This window comes from Homo sapiens, chromosome 4 (assembly GCF_000001405.40).
Source record: "Homo sapiens chromosome 4, GRCh38.p14 Primary Assembly".
Classification (NCBI taxonomy): Eukaryota; Metazoa; Chordata; class Mammalia; order Primates; family Hominidae; genus Homo; species Homo sapiens.
In genome coordinates this window covers 23732525-23744689 of record NC_000004.12, presented here as the reverse complement: position 1 = coordinate 23744689, position 12165 = coordinate 23732525, and the positions used below count along the sequence as shown (strand labels likewise).

The window sequence follows — 12165 nt, the reverse complement described above, 5'->3', positions numbered from 1 at the left end:
CAGGAATGCTCAGAATAGGTGAGTAAGATTATCAGAGGTCTCAAAGTCTGCAAGAGCAGGTTTGGGTGAAAGCCAGAGAAATAATAATAATGATTAGAACCATACAAATAACATCTATTGAGTTTAACGTGTGCTAGGTTCTGTGCCAACTGCTTTACATTTAGTGTTTCTTTCAGACTTCATGATAACTCTTTGAGTTATATATGTTTATCACATCCATGATACAGTCAAGGAAACTGATGCATCACAAGTTAGTCTTTTAAGAGACACTGTCAGAATTCAGAATGTTTCTTACTCCTAGGCTAACCTCTTAACTTCCATATTATATCTCTCAGGTTATTACAATAATATAACCATATTTTTAGCCATTTATATATTGTGTCTATATGGGTATTTATTTAGCAACAATAATATATTTTGTGGGAATACTATTTCAAAATTTTGGTTTATATACATAAAGGTATATCTATTCATATGTACTTAAAAGTGCTATGTTCACATAGATAAATAATTACCAAAGTATATGTGAAGCCAGGATGGTGGCTCACACCTGTAATCCCAGCATTCGGGGAGGTTGAGGTGGGAAGATCACTTGAGCCCAGGAGTTCAAAACTAGCTTGGACAACATAGCAAGACACCATTTCTATAAAAAATTAAAAATTAGCCAGGTATGGTGGTATGGGCCTGTGGTCCCAGCCACTTGGGAGGTTAAGATGGGAAGATCAGTTAATCTTAGGAGTTCAAGACTGCAGTGAGCTCTGATCACACCACTGCACTCAGCCTGGGTGGCAGAGTCAAATTCTGTCTCTGAAAAATAAAACTAAAGAAGTAAATGTCTGCACTTTACAAAAGAGAAGATGTAAATGCAAATGAAGATGAGCATTGCAGAAGAAATATTTTCATTATTGCTCAGAGTGGCTTTAATGAAGAAAAGCAGGAATGAAGAAGAGTTCACTGAGCATCCTGGAATGTACCAAGTCTTAGGGTCACAATGAATCTTCACAGCAACCTTGTAAAGTGTGAATTAATACATTCATTCTACAAGTGAGAAAAAGATGGCCCCAAGATATTAAGTAACTCACTTAAAATCTTAAGTCATAAAAGAGATTATGTATTACTTTAAGCCAGTTCACCACACCATTGAGGCCAACTTCTAGTAGGATGTTGGAGGAAGGTGAGGTCATTATTTTCTTAGTCTTTAAATATGATCAAGCATAGAGAATATATTTATTTAATTCCACCAATAAATGCCTGTGGAATATCTATTATATACCACTACTATATGATGCTAGATGCTGAGTTTCTCAGCATTCACCTTGGTGGGAAATTTCATTGTCTGATGGAAGAGACAGACATAAGCAGATCATTAATTAGTACGTGGGAAGTACAAGGTTCTATGTGAGGAAAAGGGAGGGAGAAACTATACATGCTTGATAGATTTGGGAAAAATCTTAAATTGGAGGTGACATTTGAGTTGGTCCTTGAGTAGGAGTTTGCCAGGCAAAGAACAAGGTAAAGTCAACAGCAAAGACCATCCTGAAGGCATAAAAGAACTCAGTTTTAGAAAGGGAATGATCATCCTTCTGTGTGACTTGAAGGCCAGTTTTGAGATAGGTAGTACAGAGAGAGAAATCTCATGGCTTATTTCTAGGCACTGGCTTCGGAGAATTTTATATGCCTGGGAAATGAGTCTGGAACTTTTCCTATGCCTGATGAAAAAACATTAAAGCTTTCACAGAAAGTGTGATTAATTTTTTGTGTTAGAAAGATAACTATATCAGATTTGAGATTGTATGTTGAAGTATTGAGAAGGGGGCATTAGGGAGAAGTTTAAAATCTAAACATCTTGAAGACATCCTTGACTTTTGCTACAGCACTCCACACAGATGGTCACCATCTCTTAAGACATTTATTTTAAATCAGGTGCCTGCTCTCTGTCTCATTGCCATGTTCATGGTCCTGTAACTCATCCTTACCTGAGTTATGACATAGTTCCTAGCTACCTCTTCCAAAACGTGGTCTCCTATAGCTCCAGTCAGGAGCCGCTATAAACCCCAGGCCTTGAAGTTCCCCCAGTATACATACAATCTCAATTATGAGTGTACTATCATACTTTTATATCTTTCCTCAAGCAGAGGGAGATAGCTCTTTGCATAAAGTTGAACTTTATAAGAAAGTGGAATGTTTCCTTATTGGTTTGCCCCCAATGGATTACAGTTGGTAAAGATTCTGAAGCCTTCATCCTTCAGGGGAGTCTGGCAGGCTATGGAATGGCTGGGGCTCAAGGCTGGTCACTTAGACAGCAAGACATCATCATCTATTGATTCTCATGCTTTATATGAGAAGTGCCATTTTCTGTGTGTCATCATGTGGTAACATAACTAAGAAGAATTTGAAAAGCAAGTTTGTTCCTGGGGGATGAGATTGTAGAAAAGAACAGTGCAGTTGGAGAAATACACTTCATTTCACATTTCCCACACTAGACTGGAAACTTTTCTAGAGATCTGAATCCTGTTGTTGGCTTTCTTTGTAGCTTGTTTTATGACCTTGGTCAAGTCAATTAACCTTTCCATTCCTCAAGTTGACCTCAATAAACTTAGAATAATATCACCCTGCCTGCTTGGCTTCCAGGCATGTAAGGTTGAAAGGGTTAATAGGAGAAAGTTTAGAAAGTGTCAAGCACTATTTATCAGAAAGTCTACAGTCTGTTGTGATAGGCAATCTATGGGTGAGTGTGCAAGATAGTGGAGGGTTATGAAGGCTTGGTAGGAAAGATTACTGGGCACAGTTATCTCTTTTCCTTGAAAGCTCTCAACTTACAGGTCAATGAGCACCTATGCACTGGGTTATATTCAAGGTTAGAGGAAGCACATGCCTTACTACTGTATTGTAGCAAATCAGTTAATTACAGAGCAACCTGTTCTTAACAGCCCCTGAAGGCACTGCCTGACCTTGTACCAGGCCTGTGAAAAGACACTTCCTGACAAGGAAATAACCAGACTTGTGAGGGCTCTCCTTGTATTCAGGTATTTAACAAGGGTAGCTAAATGCAGCAGTTACAATTTCCTTTGAAACTCACCACGCCTCCTCTCTCTGTGATTTCTCAACTTTGCCCAGAAAAGACAGGATTAAGGGGGAATTTGCTTGGGCATTGCACTTACTAGATAAGGGAAGGCTAGTGATGTAGCAAGGACCATCTTATGGTTCACCCGTATACAGGTGAGGTTGAGTTCCAGCATAACCTGCAGAGAGACAGGGAAACAGAGAGAGGGCCTATTTTCAACGTCAAATTGAAATCACATTGGCAATACATTGGAAAGAGTGGACTATAGAAATAACAATTGGCACAGGGTGATTGATATACATGATTTAGAGACTTATTTGGCTGTAGGTATTAATATTAAACTTTTGTGTACTCTACGACCCAGAAATTTCACTTCATAACCCTATAGAAACAATCACTGATGCATAAAAAAATCACGGATATGGACAAACAACCTAGTATGATTTGTAATTTGAAAAAAATGGTGGTGGTTAGTGTGAAGTATGTCTTAAATAGAAGGAATGACTGTGTAAACAATAGGATATTCATATTGTAGAATGTGACAGGATGATTTAAAAGCATATGGAAGACGTATGTTCAATCCATCAGTAAACGCTGTTAGTTCTTCCTCTAAAATATACCCTGGCTCTGACCAGTTTTTACCAATTCCTTCACAGACACCATCCATACCCCATCCAACATTGTTCCTGTGGACTAGGACCTAGCAACAGCCTCTTCCCTGACCTCCCAGCTTCCTCTATTGCCCCCTGCAATCTACTTTTCATTCAGCAACCAGAGTGTTGCAAATGTGATCATATCAATCCAATGACTTCTCATCACACTTAGAAAAACACCTAAGGTTCTCACCAGTGTCTGGAGAACTGTGTATGATCTGAGCCCTGGCTACCTCTCCAAATTAAGTTCTTACCAATATTTTTTCCCCAGAACTAAAGCATAACACATAGCGGGTGCCTACAAAACATTGCTAAATAGGAGAAAGATGGACTCTAAGTACACTAAAATGAAAATATCAGCATGAAACACAGGCCGTAGTGTAAATAAACACATTGACTATCAATTTAAAATGCCTAGGTTCAAATCCTAGGTTTATCAGTTTTCAGCTGTGTGGCCTTATGCAGGTTAGTAAGTTCTATGTACATTAACTTTCTTATCTAAAAAACTGAATTGCTAATGTTAACTGTATCATAGAACTGTTATGAGGATTAAATAATCAATTCATGTAAAGTGCTAAATCCACATCTTACTCATAGTTAGTATCAATTAATAATGTTTCACAGCCATTTGGAGCTCCTATGTTTTTTTTTTGTTGTGCTTCTTTATATTTTCACCACCATTTTGTGTCATAGGTGCTATTTTATGCGGTGTAATCAGAGAGGGATGTATCAATAAGATGATTTTAGCAGAGATTTGAAGACAGCGAAGCTGCAGACCATGTGGTTTCCAGGGAAAGACTATTTAGGCAGAGGGAATACTTAGAGAAGGTGCCCTGAGGTGGCAGCATTCCTCAATGCTGTTTATAAAATAGTAAGATGGTACATGATGTGGTAAAAATATACAGAGAAGAAAAAAAAAGACATAGTAGTCTTAAAATATTAAGACATACTATGAATAAGATGCAGCCCTAAGCTCTCTATTTGTATTAATCATTTAATCCTCACTCTGAGGCGGGCACATTCTTGAATGTTCTAGAGGGAGCAAAAAGGCCAGAGACAAGAGAAAAATGTGTGAGAGGAGACTTAGAGATGTGACAAGGTGGGGTGGGAGGATAGAGAATGCAGATCCTCAGGGACCCCAGGAAGAACTTAAATAACTCTGTGAATGAGCCAGGAAGCTGCTGGGAGGCTTGCATTAGAGGACTAACATGTTAGAAGAATCACTGGGTAGAAACAGAGATATATCTTCTAGGAGGAGAGGGTAGTCATCCGTGGAAGAGATACTGGTGGCTTGCACAGCAGTCAAGGGCATATATTAGTGATGGAACTGATAGGCTTTGTGCAGAACTGGAAGTAGTGTGTAAGAGAGGGCAAAGTCAAAGATAACCCCGAGTCTTCTGGGTGAGCAATAAGATTGAGGTGCTGTTTACTGCATTTACTGAATGACTGTGGAACAAGGAATTTGGTAGCCAAGGGGCTCAATCAAGAATTTAGTTTTGATATCCAATTGGAGATGCCAAATAGGAAGGTGAATTTAAGAATGTCAAATTCTAAGGAGAAGCCCAGGGCTATTGAAAACTCAACATCGACTCTCTAGAACTCAAACTTGTGCAAGACCTATAATGACTTTGGTGTCACTGAGATGTGTATGTTGTGGGAAGGAGGATCCTTCCTTTTTATTCTTCTCTGTTTCAATTTTAAGATTTTTAGTTTTATCTGATTCTTCATTCCTGTTGAAAATCCAAATGAAAGAAAATAGGTAAGTTATGTTGTTTGTGTGGGGGGTGGAAGAGGGGGTTGTATTGTTTTGTTTTTCAGTTTTCACTCCAAATGATGCTGCTTTTGGAAGGAAACAAGATAGAAGTTGGGTGACCACATAGATGAGATCTGAGATTGACAGTGATCAGAAATTGACAGATATTGACAAAGATGGACAGTGATTGACAATTTGTTGTGAAGAGGAAACAAGAAATGATTAATACTATGTTTTATAACATGAGACCTCAGAGAGAGGATCTAAAGATAAATATTCTTGGAGAGAGGATACAGATGAAAAAATGCATTAGTTAAAATAATCCAATGAGTATTAGTTCTAATATTTCAAAGACATGCTAGTTCTAATGGGAATATTATTCTTCTTAGCTACTATTACTCTCAATAACTCTTCTTGTTAACTTTCATTGTTTCTAAATAGCACTTAACATGTCAGGTGCTTTTCTTGGTGCTTCCTATACATTACCTGATTTGATCCTTACACTTTGTCATGGTGTTTGCTGGTATCTCTGTTATTAAAGTGAGGAGACTGAAGATCAAACACATGTCGTTACTATAATATGGGTGGTTTAGGGCTAGCATTTTCCAAAGTTACTTCAGAGAATATTAAGTATTATCAAAAGCAAAGAGTGGCCCTAGAATATTGAGAAGTGTTAGATTAAATAAATATACACATGCTTTTTAACAAGACTTTTCGGGTCATTAATATGCTAATATAATGTACCTCCCTAAAAGGGCTTTAGCATGTGGCTTTTCTTAGTTACTTGAGCACAGAAACAATTTCTTTACTGGAGCCACTTACACATTTAATACAAGGAAGAACACATCCTAGAACATGCCTATTTAAGTCAGCTTAGCCCTGGAGCATGATATATGTCCATACCTTTGTTTTTCTGTGGCATTTTCTTTCAAATTTTCCCTCTTGAGTCTTTCTGCTGTATCATACTGCTATAGGCATTTGGTGCTATCATGTATTTCTGATTTCTCACTACATCCTGGACTTGGATGTACATTTTGATTGACACATTGTTGCTGGTCATGCAAACATGATTTTACTTTGAATATGATTTTAGTTTGATAGATGCCTAGTGTGTTTGTCATATACATAGAGCCTGACCATACAGGATTTTCTTTTGGCCAACTTTAGCTCTAGACCATTACCCCAATGCCATGGTCATTCCTTAGGCACTGCAGGCTTTGTGCCAGGCCTGGTTTCTATTGACCTACCTCTGCTCTCTTTTGCTCCTTCCATATTAGTCCAATACTCGAAACACTTTCTATATCTAATGAGACTTAGTATGAATCCGTTGCCTTGGATATGAAGGCTTGGTGTCCCTTCCTGAGCATGAGTTCTCCCTGCAGGACCATGAGTCACTGCTCTTTGTCCCTACTGGTCCTAGACTTTATGTGGTCAGATAACATTTCTGTTCTGGTCTCATTGCTGAGTTCATGCATCACTGTCCATTTAAAACCCCTAGTTCCACTTAAGAGTCTTCATTTGGCGCCTGTCAATGTCTCTAGAGATTACATATTTAACTGTGAACTTAAATCCATGGTCTGGAACTCAGCTATCTAAACAAATGCCTCAGGTAATGATTTGCTTAGACTTCTAGGCATCTCTTAATCAAGAGCCTCTTCAGCAGTGTCATTTGTTCTATTGTTACAATGATACACTGGTAACAACAGAAGCTTCCATTTTATAAATGCTTACTGTGCCAGGCTTGTGCTAAGGCCTTTACAAATATTATTTTATTAACAGCTTTATGAGATTAGTATAATTATCCCAATTTTTCACACAAGGAAACTGCCAAGTTAATAAACTTGCCAAAAATGATGTCCCTAATTAGTGGTAGGAGCAAGATTCAAATCCAGGTTTTCATCCTCAAGTTTGAATTCCTAAGATAATAACACCTTCCACATACATTTAGGACACTCAATCACAATCCTTTACCTGAATTTATGTTTTTCATAATTTAAGTTGGAATAATATTTTGAATAGAAAGCAAAAATTACTTTGTATCAGACCTAATTTGCATGTTCGTTTGTTAATCAAACATTTACTGAGGGCTAACTAAGTGTCAGACTGTGCTTAATGAGGGAGAATAAAACATTTAAAAGAAGACATAATCTCTGACTTCAAGATGCTCCTGGTTTTTAGGGAGACAGAAACATAAACAAGTATGTAGAGAGTATAATGATTACTATTATAGGCAGTCATATATTTAATACTTATAGTCCTTTAACTCAGTAGAATGATCAGTAGAACATTGTAAGTACCATTACTTAAGTGTCTATAAACCCAATATATCTCAAAAAAGTAGTGCTTGTGCTTATTGTTAAGTATGTTCTAGTAACTGTACAGTTAGATGGTTAAGTGAGACATTACTTCTCTAGGTATACAGGTGATGGTGCTCCCTTTAGTGAGTCATTTAAAATTCTGTAGATATGTAAAGAATTAATGATTATCCAGAGTGGAAGGATCAGGTTACTCAAGGAGATCACAAGCAGGGTCAGGAAATACCCCCTTGAAAATTATTTATGCACCAGGCTAGACTCACCACCAGGAAACAGGAGCTGAGAGGAAAGGCCCTAGGTTTCTGCAAGTTCTGAACCAGCAAATGTTGTCATTAGATGTGTTGGCATCTATCCTTGGAAGGATATAATAAATAAGTAGTTCTACATGTGGGTGCTGGAGAGGCAAGATGGTGCCTCAGGTAAAACGGCTGACAGCCAGGCTTGGAAGGAAGGACCGTGGTAAGGGCTGTGCCAAACACTTTCAAGAATGCAATTATATTAGGAACAGGGAATTTGGGATGTGAAGGCTCTTCACTGCATTTCCTAGGATGTATCAAATCAAAACTATACTTGCTAAGATGAACTATGTAGCCTGTATTTGATCTGGTTATTTTTCTATAATTTAAGTGTCTGTTCAAAATGTCAACTTGTTTTAGGTATTCTAAGGAGAACTAAAGAGAGAGATTTGTATTCAGGTTTGGAACAGAGAGAAAGAAAAGAGCTTCCTTGCTGGGATAGAGCAGAAATAGGTAAAGGACAGGAAAAGTTCAAAGGGAGAGAAACAAATTCATGGTGTGACAGCAGGAGTAGCTAGGTAGTGAAAGAAGAGGAAATATAGAACATAGTTATGTCCCAGAACATTAATCTACCTCCAAATCAAGGAATTCAGTAAGAGATACTAGGTCTCTAGAATTCTCCAGCAGAGAAAAACCATGGTTTATTTTATTTTTATTATTATTATTTTTTGGCTCTTTTGCCAGGCTAGAGTGCAGCAATGCAATCTCGGCTCACTGTAACCTCTGCCTCCCAGGTTCGAGCAATTCTCCTGCCTCAGCCTCCCAAGTAGTTGGGACTACAGGCACGTGCCACCACGCCCAGCTAATTTTTGAATTTTTAGTAGAGACTGGGTTTCACCATTTTGACCAGGATGATCTCAATCTCTTGACCTCGTGATCCACCCACTTTGGCCTCCCAAAGTGCTGGGATTACAGGCGTGAGCCACCGCACCTGGCCAACCAACCATGCTTTGATTGTCTGTCCCATTGTGAGTCTAAGATCCAAAGGACTCCGGAAGAGATGTTGCCAGCCATGAACAAGAGTTAATGGAGATAATTTGTTTGCTATCTGCCTCATCAAGCAAGATTGTACTAACCTTTCAGAAATTTTACAATTCTCTCCCCCTCACTCCTACCCCACTATGCTCTAAAAGTTCTAAGGGAATATGTTTAACTTTCTAAATTGTAATGTGATAGGACTACTGAAACTTGTCAGGAAAATAATTCTGTTTTAGACGGAAGACAAATTGACAGCCACACCCAGTTTAATCAAGGATGTTTCTATCATTCTTACTGTTTGCTAAAAGAGAAAGGTAATTGTGGTTGATCATTCAAAACTTTTTATTAAGAATAAACTGTAGACTCACATGTTGCTGGAGTTTAGGGATACAATAATACCCACACAATTCTTACTCTTCATGAATAGCAGTGGGACAAAGAAAATAATTCTAATACATGAATATGAGTCCTATGTTTTTCTAACTTCAAAAAGCTCTAGAATGTCAGAGTAGAGACAACTTACCAATACTGGTCATCAAGGGTGGCCTCTTAGGAAAGCTCACATGATTCTACACATGTATTAGGGCATCACGGACTAACACTGAATTAGCAAGATTGAAGGAAACATAGATGGGTCCCCACTCTAAATTTTCTTCTGTCTTTAAAGATCTAAGGAACTCTAGAAATTAGCATAACCATGAGGCAGTAAATGATTATTAGCTGTGATGTGTGATAGGGATAAGTTTATAGGCGGTCAGAGGAAAGAAAAGATCTCCAGGGTTATCAGCATGACCAATTTATAAATGACTTAATTTGGACACTCACTCTGCTACTTTGCCATCTGCTTTAAAAGAATTTCCCTTCATTATGTACAACACCTGATCATGGGGTTGTGCCTATATTAATGGATGCCTTTTCTTTTAGGAAAGCCTCATGTGCTCCATCTTAAGTCGAGCTCCAGAGTCATTCGATGTTCATTCTCTTTGCCACTTGGCAATTCTAATCTATCAACAGATGTCTGGATAGAGCACTTTTGTGCATAGAGCCTTTGAAAGAAGTCGGAGCTAAGGAAACTCACCAGCTTCTTTAGAGACAGAAACTCACAAGACACACACCTTGTGGTCCGATCTTTATGGCTGTGTGGGAGAACTACAGTGTGATTTCAGACTTTTTCTTGACATGTGGAGTCTGTTAATCCTGAAACTTCAAAATGTACATATTTCCCCCAAATGAGATGTAAGTCTGTTGAGTTAATTATCATACAATTATAGCAATGGAAAAGAAAACCCTAATCAAACGTGAACAGCTTGTCTAACTATTAACCAGACCATGGTGAACCATTACTTAGCTCTGACTTGCATGATCCATCATAGACTTTTGGCCCTCTGTGAACAAATGCTTAAATGAGTTCATAGTCATTTAAAACTGAAAGGCCTGGCTGCCTGGGTTCTTGTGATTTTCTTGAAATTGTTTAGTCATTATATTTTACTGGCATGAAGTTATGGCTATCTTCCTCTCTTTTCCACATGATAGGAAAGAGCACCCAGGTCATGGACATGAAAGACATAGCTTCCCAGGACTTTGATCTACTAAAGTGGTGATTTGTTTTATAACATTTCTACTTATAGTCCCTTAAGCTGCTAAAAAACATTAGAAGTCAAATCCCTTTGAATAAGTTTTCTTTCTAGGAAGAGCCAGAGTCCAAAGCATTGTATTCAGGGTGTCTTTTAGTGTTAGTCCAATTTGCACTATATTCAGGATAATTCAGCTATTGCCAGTATTCTAGCAGTCAAATACAAAATGACCCAGGTGAAGCATGGTGAACTTTTGGTTTACAGTTTTAAATTCAAGAGGTCAGTTTCGATTGATACAAGGATATGAAATTAGGGTTTGTTCTGGTTGAATAGGTTGAGGTTTAGGACAGGGAAGGAAAAAGAGAAAGGATAAAGCCAATCAGATGGTATGACATCACATTCAAGACTAAATAATGAGACTGTGAGCTCATTTTATCCTCAGGCACACTGGAAAGTAGGCATACTATACAGTAACAGCCAACTTTTTGTTCATTCTAACTCTTACCACACCGAGCTTTCCTTGGTGTCAGCCACAGGGGTCACTAAGCCATCAGCTGATCAAGAAAGGTAGGAACTAGATTTTTTTAATATATATAATTTGTAAAGTTTATTTACTCTTTTTTTTTTTTAAGTTCCAGGATACATGTGCAGAATGTGCAGGTTTGTTACATAGGTATACGTGTGCAGTGGTGGTTTGCTGCACCTATTGACCCATCCTTTAAGTTCCCTCACCTCGCTCCCACCTCCCAACAGGCCCTGGTCTGTGTTGTTACCCTCACAGTGTCCATGTGAAACTGGAATTTTCTATGGTACTATGTGGTGTCACGGACTCAGTCAAAGGTAAGACTGATTGAATGTGGAACAGATTCATTTACCCTGGGCTTTGACAGAGTGAGACGTTTAGAAATGGAGGCAAGTAGCTGACTTTAATTTTGCAAACACAGGCTCAACTACTGCAAACGAGCTTTTCTATTGACAAAAAGGGTCTAGATAACATTTTGTTTTTTGTTGTTGTTGTTGTTGTTGCTTCCCCATAGCTAGGGTCTGGGCAATCGGAGGAGGAGAAAGAAATGTGGTGAAAAGAGAGAGTAGAGGTGAATCTCTGCTGATGGTGTTGTTGAAGCTGCCACAGCAATCACCAATGGTAACCACCCTGAAGGCACTATTTGTAAACAAACAGGCTGTTCCCATGAAAATATCAGTCTTATAAGACCAATAGTAGCAAGCATATTTTGTGTTCCTATTTTCCAATCCAGCCTTCTGCTAACAAGAAGAGGAAGACAAACATCTTGGGAATAAGAACCCAGTAGGGGTGAATATTCGAAGATGCTTTGAATGTCAAGACTTGCTTTCCAAGCTTACCTTGCTTCCTGTAAGCATTTTGAAAAACTGAAAATAGGCTGTGGAAGAGATCCCAAGTAGAGGTTTGCTTGGGGAGAAGATTCCAGTAAGAATAAAGCTTATGACAAAGAGCCCAGGCCATGGCTGGGAAAAAGTCAAGCTTAGAAGAACAGGAAGCATACTAACAATTG

At 38.4% G+C, this 12165-nt stretch overlaps 1 long non-coding RNA gene across 2 annotated transcripts in view; it reads right to left on the bottom strand.

Moving 5' to 3' along the window:
- The window catches only part of LOC105374528 (uncharacterized), a 50374-nt gene that overhangs the window by 24358 nt on the left and 13851 nt on the right, over positions 1 to 12165 (bottom strand). Inside the window, exon 2 of one of the 2 annotated variants that reach the window (XR_925476.3) lies at positions 3162 to 3242. The exons of the other annotated variant lie outside the window; for it this stretch is intronic. This is a non-coding gene — a long non-coding RNA (uncharacterized LOC105374528). The remainder of the gene's footprint in view (positions 1 to 3161; positions 3243 to 12165) is intronic. 2 annotated transcript variants of the gene reach the window in all.